The sequence below is a fragment of the Homo sapiens genome, chromosome 4 (genome assembly GCF_000001405.40).
Source record: "Homo sapiens chromosome 4, GRCh38.p14 Primary Assembly".
In the NCBI taxonomy this organism is placed as follows: Eukaryota; Metazoa; Chordata; class Mammalia; order Primates; family Hominidae; genus Homo; species Homo sapiens.
The window spans coordinates 152,206,205-152,226,685 of record NC_000004.12 but is presented as its reverse complement, the minus strand read 5'-3'; the positions used below and the strand labels follow the sequence as shown (position 1 = coordinate 152,226,685).

General features: G+C 40.9%; 1 long non-coding RNA gene across 1 annotated transcript; it reads left to right on the top strand.

The window, feature by feature from the left end:
- Positions 1–813: 813 nt before the first annotated feature.
- Positions 814–19,699, top strand: LOC105377490 (uncharacterized). Its single transcript, NR_188450.1, has 3 exons — positions 814–855; positions 1,236–1,442; positions 19,018–19,699. It is a non-coding gene; the product is annotated as an uncharacterized LOC105377490 (long non-coding RNA).
- The last annotated feature ends 782 nt before the right edge of the window (positions 19,700–20,481 follow it).

The following is a 20,481-nucleotide window of genomic DNA, read 5'->3' as shown; positions in this document are numbered from 1 at the left end:
ACCGAAATGAACCATGCCAGTGTGTGTGTGTGTGTGTGTGTGTGTGTGTGTGTGTGTTTGGTGTTGGAAATGGGTGTAAATGCTGTTATTTTCCTTTCAGTAATGAACTGATTTCCTCATCTAGGCAGGAGCACTCAAGGAATCAATGCTATTGACCACTGCCACAATTGTCATGTTTTAAGCCATTTCTCGTTTTATTCATGCTCTCGTGTATCTCCTGTGTTTGACAAGCTCTTTCTCTGGGTAATAAAGGACCATTTCTAGTTCCCTAGAACTGTTTATTTTGTCCCCTATTGTTTATTACAATGCAGGTGTGGACTATTTGTGAATTTGCCTAAGTAACAGAATTGAAGGTAGAGTAGTTGTAGACTCAAAATTTATTTATGAAGCATTAATATGGAACCTGAGCCTGGAAAGGTGGCGGGTGAGGGATTTCTGTGGGAGCCGGGAATGTTCTGCCTCTGGATTAGGGTGTTGGTTACACAGGGTATGTTCAGTTTGGGAAGACCCATCAAGCAGTACATTTATGTGTTTTTCTGCATATATATTATATTTCAATTATATATATATTTAATAAAAGTATTGAAGTCACCAGTAGCTCATATTCTTGTGGGGATGTGTAGGGATTAACAATCATTAATAGACTTGGTTACTAGTAGTCAAATTTCATCTCAGGCTCATAGAAGTTTAAACATGGAAGGGATCTTAGAAATAATTCAGTTTAATTTTTAATTTGCAGCTGAGGAAACACAGGCCCAGATGGAAAGTGGCTTGCCCAATCCCACACAGCAAGGCAGAGATGGATCCATCCAGCTCTCTCCTCCCAGCCAGGGCTTAGCGACAACACAGCTACAGGTGAGATGGTGCAACCAAAGAGAGCTGAGCTGTTGGAGACAAACATTGTGTTTATTCAGATATTCTCTGGTGGTTTCAGTCTAAACTGAGGAATTATTTGTGTTGAAGGTCACCTACCATCCTATAGTAATCTGTGGCAAAATTACTGGAATCTACATCTGAAAGTCCTTCTGCGGGTTCTTACTTCTAAGTCAAAGATTATCTGAATTAAGGCTGGATATGTGTTTGTGAAGGGAGAAGGAAATAATTTACCAGCGATTGATGGGTGCTGTTTACATATAGAAGCATTTTTTTTTTTTTAGTTTGGAGCTAAGGTAATTTGCTTTTAGATATGCAGAATAAGGCAAGGCCATTTCTGTTTCCTGCCTTTCTCCTCCCAGGGGCATGAGAGGCTCAGAGGCCTGGTCCTCTGGCTGGTGGAGCCTTGGAGGCAGTAGTGAAGATCCCTGGAAGAGGGAGGCCATGAAGAGGGATGCAGATACCTGGCAAGCCCACCTCCCTTCTATGCCACCTGCCAGCCTTCTCTGACATTCCCAAACCAGGGACCAACACCGCCAATCAGGGAAGATTTACACGCATTTAATTATGTAAGTCTCATTAGTTGACGCAGAGGGAACTCGTACGATGAACACACTCTGGCAAGTCAGTTATTTAGCACCTCTCCCTACCTGCTCCACCTGGAAGAGGCCCATGAAATAAATGCCCTGAGTCGTTTGGGCAGTAAACTAGAAACTCAGAATCCATAACTCAGGTTTCCTACACTGTCAGTGTAGGAAATGCTGTATTGGCAATTTCAAACAAATAAACTGGTTTTGGGGGAGGGAGTGGGGTGCTGAGAAGGGAAGGGGAGGGAGGGACAGACACAGGGAAGGGGAAACAGAAAGAGGATGAGAAAGCATGCCCTAAACAAGGAGGCTGCCACTGAAGTTTGTGCTTCAGGCCAGAACAAAAGGCAGAGGCCTTTAGCAAGGCAAGTGCTGAAGTCCACAGGCAAGGAAAAGAAAAGACTTTAAGCAATGATTAAAAGAGGCAGAGAAACTCATAACCTGTGTTTGTTGTACCAGAAAGAAAAGCTTATACATATAGTTTATTAGTTTCCACCATTGTCATCGCCTCTGGCAGCATGTACAGTAGGAAATACCAGAAGGGAGGAAAAAAAGCAAAACAAAACTTAAACTTGATTCCCCTCCTGCTAACCCTGTCCTGTCAAGCAAGGCGAGATAAGGGGAACAGTTCACCTTGTCCTCCTGAAGATCAGGCCATCAGGATAGGGTGGCCTAGGGATCACCACGAAAAGCAAATGAGTTGTTGTTGCTGTTACAACTCAAAACCCCTTTTAGAAGCTGGGGCCCCAGCCAGGCTTTAGAAGTCCACAATGGGCATTGTTTCAGGAATCCCCCACCCTGCAGAAAAGGGACTTTATTTTTGTTCCATCGCAGCAGAGCTCTAGCTAACGTCCAGCCTCAGGCCCTTTCCCGCACAGCTACCCCTGGCAGGACGCTCGCCGGTTTAGCCCAGCCTGTCTGCCCCTCCACCTTTTGCCTTCTCTAATTCTCCCCAGCTCTCTCTCTCCTCTTTTTTTTTTAATAGTAAAAAAAAAAAGCTGGAGAAGCTACTTGAAGTCTGGGGTTTGGACAGGAGGTGAGATCACTCTCCCAGAGGCACCATGGGGCAGAAGTGGAGAGCCAGGCACTGTCCCCAGCTGGCCTATCCTGGCCACTTCCTTCCCAGGCCCATGTGGGTCACTGGGCTCCTCAGAGTTGGTGTGACCCTGGGTTCCATGGGAAAGGTCTGCTCCTCACTCCAGCCCAGGCCTCTTTCTGATCCGTAGGCAACGGCTGTGGTCTGGGCAGGCTGCTTTCTCCTAACCTGCCTTAGGGTTTCTTTCAGCTTAAAACAAAAACAGGGTGCTCCATGCACACTGTTTCTAGATTCCATTATATTTAGCAAGCACGAGGCCCTGAGTCTGCTGAGAAGGGCTGAGTGACTTTTATTAGTGATTCATGAACTGGGCAGCATCCAGTCTACAAAACAGACTGGAGCTCCACTGGGTGAGGCAGAAGAGTGGGTTTCTGTAAGGCAACTTGAGCAGGAACGGGGAGATAGCCTACTGCAAAAAGCAGATTGGTTAACATCAGGTCACTTCAGGTTACTCTCCTTGTGTGGGTTAAAGCAGACGGGGCTCCCTTATCACAAGCTCAGTTGACTGGGCCCCTTTTGATGGGTTGCTGTGAATCTCTTGTTTCTTGGTAAACGTTCCTATTTGGGTGTTAGGCTACTGTCTCTCCTGATTTCTCAGAAGGCCAGATCTTAAAGGTAAACAGCTTAGGTTTCAGTTTGGTGATATGGGCCTTAGCATGAGTGACTTCACTTTAGATTGGTTTGTCAGGGTTTAGTGCAGGAGCTCAGTCTAAATCAATGGTCTTCCATAAATTTTATCTCACTGAGAGTGTTTGTGACGTATGTGTTATGTATGAGCACACTCCAAAGCCAAACACAGGTTGGGTCATTCATTCAATAAATGTTTACTAAGCTTCTATTTTGTGCCAGGCACTGCTCTGAAACTTACAGACCAGCAGTGAACAAAACAGATAATTTCTGACTCCATGGAGCTTACATCCTAGTTGGAGAGACAGAAAAAATACTAAATAATTCTTTAAACATTAAGGTAATCCTTCTACTAAGGCAAATAAAGCTGGGAGACAGGTCCAGAGTACGTGGTGGGAGGAATACAATATTAAACAGAGTGGTCAGGAAAGGCCTCACTGACTGCAAAATTGCTTGGGGATAGGCTGCTGTTTTGAAATCTTTCTACCTCTGCTTCTTCTTTGCCTAGTGTACAAATGATGAGGATAAAGTCAGTAGCCCAAAGCCTTGCCGTCAGCAATCTGTATCTCCAATATAAGATAACAATTCCTCTTAAATACCCAAATCACAAAAGTCCAGGCCCCACCTGTCAAATCAGCAGGAAGTTTAGACTTCTCTTGGGTTTTTCTCCCAAAAGATTCCTGAGAATCATGGAATGAGTTAGACTTGTCCATTAATCAGTCCCCTTTTTTGCTACCATCCAGAGAACCAGTTCAAGTCTCTGGAGGCTGGATGTCCGGCCTTCACCCTGGCACAGTGGGCTGTGGGCTCTGCGGTCCAGTTGCTAGTCAGGAGACGTCCTGGTGGCCCCTGATTCGTGTTCACGTTCACATCACTGTTCCTGCGGTTCTCTACACATTCACCTTGGTATTAGCTCTCTTTGCCCCTGGTCCAGCATACCTCTTCAGCTTCCAAGTATGGGTCACCTTCCTTATGTAAATTTCCTCTTGGGACTGTATTTTCTTTTAAATAAAAATTGGCCTTGTCCGAGAACTTACTTCATCAGATATAGTCATGTATCTTTGAATGTCTCCTCCTAACTCTGTAAATTTGTGAATGACGTGGGGGGCACAGCCCAGCTCTGTCTGGTGGCACTGGGGATCCAAACGCAGATGAAGCAGCTCAGGAAGTGGCGATACCTTGCTGCTCCGCCAGCGGGGCCAACACAAAGTGCTGTCAGCTACACGGACACCAGTTTGTTTGTGTTGTGACTCTGAAAGGAAGCCATGGCATTGCTTTCCACAAATTATTACTAAAAAACTGTTCTGTTAATATTTGAAATATTTAAACACAAAAGTACCTACCATTCAGATTTAACAAATTGTTAGCATTTTACCATTTTGCTTAAGACCTTATATTTTTAAAGCAACAGAAACTTGGTATCCTGTGCACTTTGATTCTATGCAGTTAGTGAGCTTGGATAGTGACGGTTCAGACAGGAAGCTTAGAGAGCAATGCACACCATTTTATCAGAATCTGCGTAGGTCTTCAGTTTCAGGTCGTAAGATTTCAGAGAGTGAGGAGATACCATTTCCTCCAAACAATTCTCTTTCAAAAAAAATCACTGGCCTCTATTCAGTTCCTAAGTAGAGAAAAGAGTTCAAATAGTAATAATTATAGGTGTTATAGATATAGTTGGGGCCTTTTGTGTGTTCCTCTCAATTTCATTCTCTGCTCCCTCTCCCGTGGCTGCCATTGTCCTGAAGCTGGTAGGTATCATTTCCGTCCATGTTTCCCACTTTACTATATGTGGATATTTTAATAAACAATACATAGTCTTTTGGTAGGGGTTTAAATATTACTTTAACAGTATTATACTATATGCATCATTCTGCAGTATGTTACTTTGTACTTTAGGTTTGCCTGCTGTTGCATGGATACAGTTTTCTTTTTTAAATTCCTATTTCTTCTTGTAGAATTAAATCTTTTATTTGTTTTAATTTAATTTTATTTTTTTGAGACAGAGTCTCGCTCTGTCGCCAGACTGGAGTGCAGTGGCATGATCTTGGCTCACTGCAACCTCCACCTCCCGGTTTCAAGTGATTCTTCTGCCTCAGCCTCCCGTGTAGCTGGGACTACAGGCGTGTACCGCCACACCCAGCTAATTTTTATATTTTTAGTAGTAACAGCGTTTCACCATGTTGACCAGGATGGTCTCGATCTCTTGACCTTGTGATCCACCCGCCTCGGCCTCCCAAAGTGCTGGGATTACAGGCATGAGCCACCGTGCCCAGCCAGAATTAAATCTTTTATTGAGGGAACATAAAGGTAGCTCTCTGAGTTTTTGCATCTCTTAAAATGTCTCTATTATGCTTTCACTCAAATGATGAAGTAGATGAGTACAGAATTGTAGATTGACAGTTTGTTTCTTTCAACACTGAAAATATTGCTTTCCTGCCATCATGCATTTCTTGATGTTGATGAGAAGCCTGCTGCCATTTCAATTGTCATTACTCTGTAAGTGACCTGCCTTTTTTGTCTGTTAGCTTTTAAGCTTTGCAGCTTCACAACAATGTGACTAGGTGTGAATTTATTTTTAATGATTTTGCTTGACATATAAAGTGTGCATTTTCATGCCGAGAACCCATGTCTTTCTCAATTCTGGAAAATTCTTGAATATTCTTGAATATAATTTTTCTGCCATTTTTTTTTATTTTCTTCTGGACTTCCTGTTAATTGTTAATCAGAACTTCTCAGTCTATTCTTGGTAGGCTCTGATTATCTAGTGCTGTACCACAAACCACACCAAAATGTGACTTAAAACAATAATTTATTGTTATTTCTCATGGTTCCATGGGGTGATTGGACTTGGCTGAGTTGTTCTCACTTGGGACCTCTTGTGCAGTTGAGGCCAGATGCCAGCTGGAGCAAAGTCATCCAGAAACTTGACTGGGTTAGACATCCAAGATGACTCACTGGCCCCATGGCTCATGGGCCCAAAATGTCTGACAGTTGATGATCCCATGGGTGGGAGCTCACCTGGGACTGTCCATTGGCACACCTACCTGTTGGCTTTCCATGGGTCTTAGTCAGCTCCCCATGTGGCTCAGACTTCTCGCAGTATGATTACTGGCTTCTGAGAGGGAGTGTTTCAAGCACCCCGGGCAGAATCTGTCAAGAATTTTTAAGACCTAACCACAGAAGCCCTAAATAGCACCCCTACCACATTCTCTTGGTCAAAAACATCATAAGGCCAGCCCAGATTCCAGAGGAGGGGAGACACTGCCTCTTGGCAGGAGAGTAGCCTGTGTGTATGGGGAGAGATGGAATTAATGGTGGCCATCTTTGCAGGAAAGTTACCACACCGTGCCTCTGAAGTCTCCTCTTACTCAGTATTTCTTTGTTGCTGTGTTGTGTTCTGCATGAATTCTTCAGTGCTATCTTTCAACTTACTAATTATCATCGTGACTGCATCCAAGCTAGGTTTTATTGCATCTACTGATTTTGTATATTTTATGATACTTCTTGTTTCTGATGTTTCTAACTAGTTCTTTTTCCTATCCACCTTTTCTTGTTATAGAGTCACCTGTTTTGCTTAATTATGCCTTATTCATTTTTCTATATTTTATTTTTTAATTTATGTTTTTGAACATGCTAACCATAACTATTTCAAACTAATTAATATTCACCAATTTGAGAGGTATTTGTGTGCTAAGATTAGTAAGATTTGCTGATGTTTGGATATGTTGAGAGAGTAGGAGTGTGAAGAATAAAACTCCAAGTTATATGCCTTATTTGGATGAAGTTAGAGACTATGGAAGAAGACCAAGCTTGCAGGAGAAGGTTATAAGTTCCTTCTGAAGCCCTATTAAGGCAGTTGGACAGACCATGATCATGAATGTTAATTTTGACTATGGACTAGGAGAAATATAAATACTCTACAAAGATAGGCTCCAGTTATTGATCCGAGGATAATTCAATAGCTATAATCTCAAGATCTACCTTCATTTATTTATGAACTTATTTAATTCTTCCATATGCAAGTGCATCAATATGCTGTTAGCAACTTTGATAGTCCTTTCTTTAAAGTTGCCATTATTTACTTCTAAACATTTTCCTATTACATCCACTATCATGGACCCAAATCTCTGCTTCAGAAGTATTCTCAGAAATGAAAGTGAGGGAAATGACAGAGAAAGTGAGGGCAGAGATGAACATCAGATCCAAAATTCATCTCTGCCAATTGCTCTATATGTTAGGAGGAAACAACTTCTAGTGCCTTGTTACTTCTTTCTTTCTTTTTTTGGAGTGCTTCCATTTATACCTCTGTGTTTCTCTACCCCTTCATTTTGTCATTTACCTGCCTTGCTTGTTCTGGCCCAGACTGGGAGTCAGAAGAGTTGACTCTGAGCACAGTGAGGTCCAACTTCTTGTGGGATGACAGAGGGTAGGGGAATCCTGCACGTGGGGGGGTAAGCCATGCTCCCCTGGATGACTGACACAGCCAGAAGGCAGTTCTCCCCAAGATGTACTGCCAGGGGAACATGTTTGAGAATGATTGCAAGAGGTATTAACATACTTCCTCCCAGACTTATAGGCTAATGATTTTATAATTGAGACCCAGAAGTCTCATCTTAAGTTAATGAAGTGATAGGATGCCTCTTCAAAAGCACTTGGTAAATATTCATTGATGAATGAATGAAGAAACAGACCTAGATAAATTAAGTAATGACAGCACAACAATAGCAGCAAACCCAAAGAGTGGTGACTCTGTGTGCTCTCAGCGCCCGCTGACTAAGGTGTTTTATGCATTTGGAATTCATTACTCCTCACAGTAATTTTATAAAGTGGGTACTTTCTTAACTCCATTTTCAGATGGAAACCTGAGACATGAGCGGTTTCACAGCCAGCAAGTGGCAGAGCTAGGACTCGACCCCCTACAGTCTGGCTCAAGCATTTGGCACTACTATACAACCCTCTCTGCCTAAGTAACCTGTCCAGGTTCCTGCATGGAGATTACTTACAACCAGGTTTGTCTGACTGATATCAGACTATGTGCTTTCAGCCACCATTCTCTATTTCCCTGAAGGATCATTGCCTATCAAGGAAGTTTCTTGTGAGGGCACCCTCCAGCTTCAGGCTGCTTTATTTAGCTAGTCGATGAATCTTACAAAAGAAAATACAGAGTTAAGAAATCTTAAAACTAACTGCTGGTTGTCATGCAGGGCAAAAAAAAAAAGGAGAGATATATTTGTTTGACTAAATTTTCTACTCATCCATCTTTCTGGGAAACCAACTAAAGTTATTCTCCAAAAGTCACAACACAAATCTTTAGCAAAATGAGGACTTGCAAAGAGGCAGACCTCAGTATTTATTGTCAAAACAGATGATGGAGGCCACCTACTCCCACCTGCTCATTTCACAGGCGAGAAAGCCAGGCACAGAGAGATTCAGTGTGTCTTATTCTAAGTTATGCACGTGATGAGTGGCGGAGCCAAGACTAGAAGCAGATCTCTTGACTCTTTGCTTAACAAACTGTGCATTATTCCTGTTCAGCCTCAGGTTTCTCTCTGTGCCCTGAGCAGTTAGCATTTCATCCATTCATTATTCAGTCACTTATTCATTCACCCCCCACCCCTCATATATTTACTGAGTGCTTTCTCTGTGCCAAGCTCTATTCTCTGTGCTGGTCTTTGAGTGGGATATAGGAAAGATATAATTTCTGCATCCATGGTGTTTACAATTGACTGAGGGAGACAGGCCCCAGATAAACAAATTAAGTAATAAAAAGAAAATGTCTGGGAGTGAAAACGGCCATGATGAAAGCAGGTGTGAAAGAAAGGGGCCTACTGGAGCCCAGGGGTCACGAAAGGTCTTGTGGGAGTTGCATTTAAGCCACTTATTGAGTGGTGACAGCGAGGAAGAGCATCCCAGGGCCAAGGCTGGTGGAGGAGCACATGCTAGGAGTGTCTGAAAAGCAGGAAAAAAGGACCATGTGAAGGAGGGAGAGGGGACTGGGATGCTGAATTTTATGAGTGGACTTGACACAGAGTGCCCAGATTAAACACTATTTCTAGGCATATTTTTGAGGTTGTTTCAAGATGAAATTAGCATTTGAATCTGTGGATTCCGTAAAGTAGATCTAGCTCGGTGTGGGTGAGCATCAGCCAATTCCTTGAGGGCCTGAACAGAACAAAAGGCAGAGGGAGGAGAAATTTGCCCCTTTGCTTCCTGCTGTGTACTTGAGCTGGGACATCAGTCTTCTCCTGCCCTTGGACTGGGATTTACACCCTCAGCCTCTGGTTCTCAGGCCTTCAGACTTGGACTGGAATTATACTCTTGGTCTCCTCTCCAGTTTGCAGACAGCAGATCATGGGACTTGATCTGCTCAGCCTCAATAATCACGTGAGCCAATTCCTCATAATAAATGTGTGTGCGTGTGTGTGTGTGTGTGTATTTATATACACATACCTCCTATTGGTTCTGTTTCTCTGGAGAACCCTAATACAGAGGTGACCTATTTTGTAGAGCGTGACAGTCCGATCAAAAAGACTTGTCAAGCCATTAAGAAAGATGATTACAATGCTATATAGCAAGCTGGAAATTGATCACAGTATAATGTGGGAGAAAAAAGCAGGATATAATTATATGGAAGCCATGACTACAACTCTATGAAAATATTGAAAGGAAAATGATTCGGATGGTCACATAGAGTTGGAGGATTATGGATAATGTGGTTTCTTTTTTCCCCATTTCTTTAGTGTTTCCAATTTTTCTCTGTGCTTCATTGCTTAAATTAAGAACTGAAATGGATAAAAATAAACTGTAGCTGATGCTTTAAAAAAAAGAACTAGGCTCCAGAGTGTTCTAGATTAGTCTTGAGATACATTTTTCTTAACTTAAATATTTTAAAGTAATATATACATATAGATTTTAAAAAGCAAATAGTAGACCCTACCCCTTCCCAACTCCAAGTTACATTCTCCTGAAGCAACCACTTTCAAGTCTTTTGGCTGTTTTTTTTTTCTTCTTACAGTAATTCTTTTTTTTTTTTTTTTGAGACAGAATCTCACTCTGTTCCAGGCTGGAGTGCAGTGGCACAATCTCGACTCACTGCAAGCTCCGCCTCCCGGGTTCACGCCATTCTCCTGCCCCAGCCTCCTGAGTAGCTGGGACTACAGGCACACGCCACCATGCTCAGCTAATTTTTTATATTTTTAGTAGAGATGGGATTTCACCGTGTTAGCCAGGATGGTCTCGATCTCCTGACCTCGTGATCTGCCTGCCTCAGCCTTCCAAAGTACTGGGATACAGGTGTGAGCCACTGCACCCGGCCTTCGTATAGTAATTCTTAAATTTTTAAATAACATGCCTCTATTTCTACTGCTTGATTTCCCAACATCCTAGGAATTCTTTTTATTTCTCTACAACTTTAGACTGTACTTTTTCTTAGTTCCCATCTTGGTTTACTTTATTGACTTATTGTTTTACTGGGACATAACTTTTTTAGGAAGAATGCATGCAAAATAAACTCGCATGTTTGAATAAGCCTTCATTCTATTCTCATATTTGATTGAGAATTTGACTAGGTGTATAACTATAGGTGAGAAATACTTTTTTGTTTAGTTTTTTGAAAGCATCACTCCACTGTCTGTGAGGTTTTACTGTGGCTGTTGAAAATTTAATAACATTCTCATTTCTAATTTTTTATATATGACCTATTCCCCCTACTCCCTACACCATGTGTTTTAAGTTCTTCTCTTTATCCCTGCTATATTGGAATTTCACTCAATGTGACTTGTTGTGGATCTTTTTATTATTCATTTTACTTGACACTCAAGGGTCCTTTTCCAACTGAAAACATGTACCCTTAAATATGGGGAATTTGTGTTTAATAATTTTGCTTGGTTTTCTGTTTTCTCCTTTTGGAGTCCCTATTACTTGTATGTTGGACCTCTTGATAGATGTCATATTTTCTTTTCTCTGTAATTTTCTATCTTTTAAATTCTATTTCCTGAAAGAGTTCTACTTTTATCATCCAGTTCCTTCTATTGAATTTTTAGATGTCTGCTATGATGTTTCTAATTTTAAAAAACTTTCTCTTTCTCCGGATGTTCCATTTTATAACATTTAATTCTTGCTTCATAGATGCAATGTTATCCCTTATCTTTCAATATTAATTATAGTTTGTTACCATTGTAGTTTTCCTCAGTACTTGCCTTGATTCTATTCCCTCCTACTTTCTTCCCCGCCTCCCCCAACAAATTGTTTGTTTTGATGTATGGCCTTCATATTGGGAGCTTTCATCAAATGTCTGTTAACATATGGCCATCTCTTTGCATTTCAGACTGGGACACAAAAGAGATGACCAGAAACTGGGTAGGAGAGGGATAAGGCTTATGGAGAGGAGACTTTCTTCACAATAGGACAAATAGTGGGGACTTGCTGGTTGCATTAGGGAACCCCCAGAAATAAGGGTTCTTAGATTTGGGGGAATGGGGTCAGTCATCAGTCTTTTTCTCCAGAGACAAAATTTCTAATCTGCTTTCTTGGAATTAGGGTTGGAGTGGTAATAATAATAATAAATATGTGTGGGAATGGGAGAGAGGCTGTCACCAAATCCAGTGTGCTTTCAGTTATGTTTGGTGTTAAGGTTAGACCTCTTTCAACTCAATTTCTCCTGAGACAAAACTTACAGTCTTTGGAATAGAGGAGGACCAGCCGTCTTGCTTAGTATATAGAGGGAAAGAATCCAGGCTCAATTACTCCTTATACAGACTTTTAACCAGTCTTCTAGTTTTCAACCCCACCCCTCATCCCAGTCTTCTGGTGTATGTGGTGCTTCCAACCTCTAAGGCTTTCCAGGGTCTTAGAAAGAGATAATAGAGAAAATTGAGGAAATATAAATGTTATTGGACTAGTGAAAACTATCAATCTACTGATCTGGGAAACAACCCATCTTAGATGAAATTCAGACATTTAAAGAAATTCAGACATTATAGCAGACATTTAAAACCTTAGTAGAAGGGATTGGAGATAAACATTGAAGAACTCTTTCAGGAAACAGAATTAAAAAGACAAAAAGTTGCAGAGAAAAGATAAGAAAATGTGATATCAATCAAGAAGTCCAATACACAAATAATAGGGGTTCTGAAAGGAGAAAACAGAAAACAGGGAGGGGCAAAATCATTAACCTCTAAGATTACACTCTCATAGACTAACTTGTTGTTGGATCTTTTTATAGGAGCTTAGCAAAGTTCATAAAGCTGAAGCCTAACTCAGCACTTATGCCAATACTTTAATTTGTTACAGTATGTAATTTTTAAGACATTAAAAAGAGTACACCTGCTGTATCTACATGTTAAAAGCCTAATGATAAAATGAATACTAATGAATACACCTTCAAATAAAGAAAAGTAGCACGTTACTAATATTAGTGAATTTCATCTAAGATAGATTATTTCCTGGATCAGTAGATGGATACTTTTCATTTGTTCAAGAACATTTACACCTCTTCCATTTTCTTCATTATCTCTATGTAAGGCTCTATCACACCTTCTCACTTTGGCTTCCAGTTTTCTTAACCTCTCCCTCATATTTCCCACCTTGTCTCTTTATATTTGCTGAATGTATTTTAACAAGGATCTCAGTATATCTGGGCAATAGAGCTTGCCACAAAGTCTAATCTGTCATACTCCTGGAAATGAAAGTTCCAGGTCTCATCCAGCTTGTCATGTTTAATTGGCATCAGTAGCCTACTCTCATCTCCTTTTCTTTTTCTTTTTTTTAATGTATGTGATTGTAAACGTCTTCAATTCCTTTTCTATCATTTCAGAGGGGTTCCGGGAGAAATATGTGATAAACACTATATGGTTTGGCTGTGCTTCCACCCAAATCTCATCTTGAATTGTAACTCCCATAATCCCCATGTGTTGTGGGAGGGACCTGGTGGGAAGTAATTGAATCATGGGGGTGGTTTTTCCTGTGCTGTTCTCGTGATAGTGAATAAGTTTCATGAGATCTGATAGTTTCATAAAGGGCAGTTCTCCTGCTCATGCTGTCTTGCCTGCTGCCATGTAAGACATGTCTTTGCCCCTCCTTTGCCTTCTGCCATGATTGTGAGGCCTCCCCAGCCATGTGAAACTATGAGTCCAGTAAACCTCTTTTTGTTTATAAATTAGCCAGTCTCATGTATATCTTTATTAGCAGCATGAGAACAGACTAATACAAACACTGTTGTTCAATCTGAAATGTATAAGTGGAAGTTGGTTAGGTGTCTTTTAAAATTGTGCAGCATTGCACTGGGGGGTCTAATATCTCCAAACAAGTAAACTTGTATAGAAGTCTACTGAAATAATCATTTGATATATTTTTGCCTAAGTGAAATTATTGGGACAAATCCCTAAGTGGCATTGCAAGTGTTTCCCTTTGGCATCCTAGGTAGGGAACCATCTCGTGGATACAAGGATTCTTTCTGAGACTTATCCAGATGGAAATCTTCACTTCAAAAATAAATCTTTGTATCTCATAACAAAACCTTTAGAAAAAATACATTAGTCATCTTTATCAAAAAACTGAAGAACTTAACTTGATTTAGAGACAAGGAAAGACCAAAATGCTCATGTTAAACCCATTCCTTTCCTTGTCCATGAAGAAAGATTAAGTCTTCAAATGGCCACTTCTTAGTCTGAGTGACTAGAAAATCACTCTACCAGTGAGGGCATAATGATGGCTGGGTAATCACTGGTTAATGAAAAACTTATTGATTTCACAACTTCTTTGAACTGAACGTCTCTCTGTAAGCCTAAATCTTGGATATGTGAAGGATGAAAGTATTTCATGACAGGATATTAGTATGGACCAGCTTTATATTTAGACCCAAGCCCCGAACTGCCCCGACACCCCCTGTTTCCTTTGTGAGCTGAGAATCTTCCCACAGAGGCCAGTCTGGGTCATCTCTTTCCTGTGATCAGGTAGGGTCCTTCCTGACAAGGCCCTGCCCCCTCCTGGCCTTGACTACCCCTGGGCAGTGGCCCCTGGGGTGGACCTGCTCTCCTGCTCTGACAAGCAGTCATCTGTCTTAGAGCACAGGCTCTAATTACCCCTGCCATTAGCCTGCTTGGCAGGACTGCAGATGTTATTAATGGCGGTGAAATTATCCAATGCCTTTCAAAACTCCCCAGCCACTCGATGTTTGTCCCTGTGACCTCTCACAGCACTTCATTTCTTTATTCACTTTGCTGCTGTATTGAATCTTAACCTTGAGTGTGAGATAAAAAACAAGGAGGAGAATGTCACTCTCTCCAACGTTCCTTTATTCCCTTCCTCAGCCCCTCACCCCCTACTTATTTGGGGATGTAACCCAGCACCATCCTCACTGCCATGCTGTTTGTCAGCAGGGAGCTCTTGACGGTGTGGATGTGCCATTCTTTCCCGCCTCTACCCATCTCATAGATCTTTTCTCACAAATTATAAAATAACTTGTTGCTCTTTATTAGAAAATCAATATATTTTCATGTCTGGGAAAATTAGAAAAATGTAGATAAGCAGAAAGAAGAAAAATAAATCCATACTCTCACCTTCCAGAGATAAAAAATGTTAAAATTTTATAGTATATCTTTACAGACATTTCTCTATAGGAAGATATGAGATGATACTGTTATAATAATAATCACCATAACTAACATCTATTGGTGCTGTTCAGATTGCTTTGGCGTGTATTAATTGATTCACTAAATTGTCTCAAAAACCCTATGAAGTGGGTTTAATTCCTTCCTTCCTTCCTTGCCTCCCTCCCTCCCTCCCTCCTTTCCTTCCTCCCTCCCTCCTTTCCTTCCTTCCTCTCTCCCTCCTTTCCTTCCTTCCTTCCTTCTTTCTTTCTCTTTCTTTCTTTCTCTTTCTTTCTTTCTTTCTTTCTTTCTTTCTTTCTTTCTTTCTTTCTTTCTTTCCTTCGTCTGTCTTTCTCTCTCTCTCTCTCTCTTTCTCTCTTTCTCTCTTTCTTTCTTTCTCTTTCTTTCTGACGGAGTTTTGCTCTTGTTGCCCAGGCTGGAGTGCAATGGCACAATTTTGGTTCACTGCAACCTCCACCTCCTGGGCTCAAGCGATTCTCCTGCCTCAGCCTCCTGAGGGATTACAGGCACCCGCCACCACGCCCAGCTAAATTTTTGTTATTTTTAGTAGAGATGGGGTTTTGCCATGTTGGCCAGGCTGCTCTCAAACTCCTGACCTCAGATGATCCACCTGTCTCAGCCTCCAAAAGTGCTGGGATTACAGGCGTGAGCCGCTGCACTTGGCCGAAGTAGGTTTAATTTCTATTGCCATTTTGCAGGTGAGGAAACTGAAGCAGGGAGAGATTACAAATATTGCCGAAAGCCTCGTAGCTATTGAAGTGGAAGAAGTGGGAGCTGAACCCAAGTTGTCTGCCTCTAGGCTCTGTATTCTTCAATAATATATTATCATCTAACCTGCTTTTTCAATTTCACAAAGTCTAAATATCTTTCTTTGTTACTCTTAATCCACCACATGATTTCAAATAATTATGAAGACTTAGTAGAATATCAAAATATGAATATGTTGAAATTTCTTCAACCAAACTTTAGGACAGTTTTCTTTTTCTTGTCTTTACTCTTATTTTATTTTTTGCTATGATAAACAACACCTAAATTTTTTTTTAATGAGATAATTCCTTCAGGAATTTGGCTATAGGGAAAGCAAAAATAAATAGACAATGTGAACAATGTTCAGTTTATTTCACACTTGCAAATGAAAGCTTCATGTACTCCTTTGTTCAATTCATTATTTCTAAGAGATATTTGTCTACTTTTAAAAATGTTAATAATTATTGAATATTTTCTATGTGTCAGCCACACCTTATTTGTGCTGGTTAATTGCTGATATTTACTCACAAGTAATTCAGGCTCAAAATGAGATTCTGGTAAAGTCAGAGAGGAGGAAAGGAGAAGACTTTCTGGATGTCTCTGCCCCTGTAACATCCTGCCTTTTTCCTAGGTATTCCCAACTGAGCATCGTTTTTTTCATTTCCTTTTCCTTCCCTCCCTCCCTCCTTCCCTCCTTCCTCCCTCTCTCTTTCTTTCTTTCCTGAGCCTGAATATTCTGTCTTTTCCCTTAGCTGGAAACAGCTCAACTGTTGACTATCCAGAAACCCTAATGTAGCTTTAATCTAATTCCTGTTCTGGAAGGACATTTTTGGCATACCATTTTGTCTCATCTGAGTGATAGACTAGGTCTGTATTTGGCCAGTTAATCCACCACAGCAGAGTCTCTTTGGAATTTTTAGCTGATTGTCAGCCGGTCTATGTAAAATGTATTTGAATTGACCTCTGGCTGATAGGATCGACTAAATATCTTCATAACTTCATAATAGGTCCATTCTTCCATGATTCAGAGTACAAAGCCAGGGCCCAGGCAAGTCACTGACTGAATAATATGTAGACAGAGACCTTGTTTATTAACTCATTTTTCTACTCCGTGTAATGATGCCTAGCACACAGGGAGCATTAGACATGTATTTGTAAAGTTGAAGAGGAACTCCCAGGAGATCTGGGTTCTAGTTTCAGTTCCACTACAGATTAGTAAAACTAGTTAGTAGATGTTGGGGTTAGGCTTATTATTAACCACTTTGCCCCTCAATTGCTGCATACAAATTACCCGCTTAGGAACTCTTGGCAATCCAATGAAATAACTCCTGAAGCTCTGTGATTTCCACAGAAGAATTGTGTTCTAGGTTCTTAAGGTATTAACTTTCAAGAAAGAATAAAAAAATATTGACACTCTTTCTTATTTTGAAAGCTACGGAATTTAATTCCAGGATATTGTGCACGGCAAACAGGTGACCTCTTAGATGTTTCAGCTTCCCCCGCCCCATTTTGACATAGACTGCAGATGAAATTTTCATGTAGGATCCCTTCCCATGAGCGACCTTATATGGGAATTACGGGCTATGACAAGGATGAGAGAGGCTGTGGGATTCTGTACCATTCCTAGTCCACTAATATAACCCTACCCTTCTCTCTCACTTAAGAAAACACATTAGTTAAGACATATTTCAAAACTACCACAATAAAACTGTGGGGTAGTGGTGCAGGAATAGACAAACTAACCAAAAAATGGAATATGCACCTGGACACCCAATCATGTATCCATGGGAAACTGGTATATAATAGAGCCATTTCCCAAATCCGTGGGAGGAAGCTGGATCACTTAGTGAATAGTGTTGGGATAAATGACTCACTATGGAAAAAACCAAAGCTGGATGCCTACCTCTCCATATAGACAAAAATAAATTTCAAATGGACTAAGGACCCAAGTATGAAGGGAAAAGACACAATTCTTACAGAAGAGTCTATAGGCATCTATCTTTGTGGCTTTGTAGTTTTCTGCACATTTCTTAATCAATACCCAAACAACATAAACCATAAGGGGAAAATTGATGGGTCTGACTATCTAAAAAATTAAAGATTTCGGTTCAAAACAGTTAACCTGCCTCCAATGGCATGGAGAAAGATGTTCACAGTGTCTAAAATCGATAAGGAATTGATGACCCAAGGAACTCCTGCAGATTGGCAAAAAAAGGATTGGAAACTCACATAAGAGCTACACAGGCAAAGGATATGGGCAGTTTGTAGAAGGAGAAACCCAAATTGCTATTAAGCATGTGAAGAGATACCCACTTCACTGGTAATCAGAGAAATGCAAAGTTAAATTATAACACGATCCACTTTAAAATAATTAGATTGACAGAAATTGGAAACCTTATTAATATCAAGTGCTGAAAGGGATGTGGGGAAAAGAGAGCCCTCTGACACTGCTGGTGGGAGTGTAATATCCTATGCTTCGGCAATCCCACTCCTAGTGCAGCCCCCAGAGACAGACGTGCACAGATCTGTGAGGGGACATCTCCGTGGGTGGTCCTTGCAGCACGATCTATGCGTGTGTGTGTATATGTGTGTGTGTGTGTGTGTGGTAGAGTCAACCAAGGTGTTCATCCCTAGGGCAATGGAGGAAGCAACTGTGCTGGATGCAAGGCAGTCAGCAATAATGATTAGATTTCAATATAACAGCAAGGAGATATTCCAAAAAACAGAGCTGGATGAAAAAAGTAACAGAGAGAATGAGATTTATAGCCCATTGCCTTTTGTAAATTAGATATTAAACATGCACACACAAAGTAATATTATATATTATTCAAGGATGTCCGTATATCTACATAAAGATAGGAGTAAGGGTATCTGGAGGAGGGGGAATGAGAGTGGGATGAGCGAGTTGGAGGGAAAACAACAACGGCACTTTTGAAGGGCATTTGATGAATCCATGAGTGTACCATGCACTAAAGAGTAGAATTAATTCAACTCTGTGGATCTGTGGTCCAAAAGACAGGAAAAAGAAAGTAAAATTAAATTGGAATGTGGGTGAATGAGAGGTATCCTCATGGTAATAACCCTGAAATATTGCTTATAGTCTGTGTAATAAATCATTGATAAATTTCAATTATCCATTATTTGTAATAGTTTACTTGCAACACTTCCCAGCTGTCAGGACCCCTGGGGCTGAGAGCCCTAATGGGAGCTGTTTGTGTTCATAGTTCTTTGCCTGACATAATGCTACAGAGGTGAACTTAGCCACAGAAACTAAAAGAGGCAGCCTCAATATTCAAGGAGCAATTGGGAGAAAGACTTGGAAAGGGTTTGCAATTACTGTTCCATAAAGACCTAGTCTGAATACCTCTTTATCCATATTTTATTTCCTCCATCTAATATTTAAAGTCTTCCCCTTATATTTGTTGAATGAAAAGCAGAAATCTAAATAGCTCTAACATTATTTCCCTAATTCCCACAGCCTGCACTGCTCAGATGTCAGTCTCTAAATTCCTAACACAAATGAACAGAAGACAAAATCATTTGCAGGATTCTGAAATGAAGTTTTTCAGCGGAACACAGAGAAACAGTTAAATTTTGCAAAGCTGTGAAACTGGAGAGGGGGCTGTCCTCCAAATCTACCAACCAGAGACCTGGAAGGAATTACTTGCATGAGATTCATTTCTCTCTGTCTTTCTCTTTCTCCCCTCTCCCCACCTATCTGCACCAAACTCACCTGCCAATTTCATCAGCGATACTTGAATGGATTTTCTAACCTGTTCCACTCCAAATTGATCAGTTAATTAAGTTGATCTCTACAAGACTGTTAAAGAACCAGGTCTTTTTCCTTTCATGTTATGCAGTTCCAAGTAAACTCCCTTTACTCTGGTATCCTTATCAGAGGCAGACATCACAGGAAGTGGAGCATTCCTTATGAATATCTTAATCTACACACAAATAGATTTTTTTCAATGTGAATTTGGATTTCTAAAAGCACGCTTACTGCAAGTACATTTTGCAGCCTCTTGTTTCCAGATCAGAATTGAGTGATTTTCTATTATTTATTTATTTATTATTTGTCACTTTAAAATATGCAATTCTTGGGATCATGCAGAATTGCTGTATATTTGCTTTGAAGATTAGAATAAAACTGGTAGATAATGTGGATGTCTCTTGTGATCAATGGCTGTGAGGCAATGTGTGTGGCTTTGGCCGCCGAGTCTCCAAGTGAGGTCACTCCTCGGATCTGAATGTGTGTGCGCATTGTTGATAACTGGAATTAGTTTAGGAGGAAGTGAGACCGGCGTCCTGGGTATTAACACCCTCTGAGGGGTTTCCAACCACTTGCAGGCCATTATCTCATTAGTTCTCAAAATACCCCATTGAGGAGGAAAGGAAGGAAGACCCTAATGGAGTAATGAAATGGTAGAAAGCACTTTGCTAATGTAGCCATCACTTCCTCCTCCCCTGCCCCTAATCCCTAAGCCCGGATGCAGAAACTGAGGCAGAGGGAGCTGAAATTGCTGACCCGAGACCCCTGGAGAGTCAGCAGCAAAAGGAAGACCGGGATGCTGCTCCTCAGCATGCTGATGGAACTTTTTTTTTTTTTTAAAGAAATGCTTAAATAAGGGCTAAATCGCTCACTTAAGATAACAGCAACCTTTTATTTCTAAACCAACACGGGGTGTGGATAGCTGGGAAGTCAAAAATGTGCTAAGAAGAGGGGTAGGCACTGGGCCAAGATAAAGCTGTCGACAGGCTCTCAGAAGTGGCCACTTTGGGGTGCAGCTGGGCTCTTCTGCCGATTCAGTACTTTGCTGATAAGTACAGTTCAATTTGGTTCACATCTTTATAGACACACACATGACACATATTAAACTGACCTCGTCTGCTCTAATTCCTCAGGTGTTTCACCAAGGCCTTTGAGGCTATTTTCTTTAAGAAA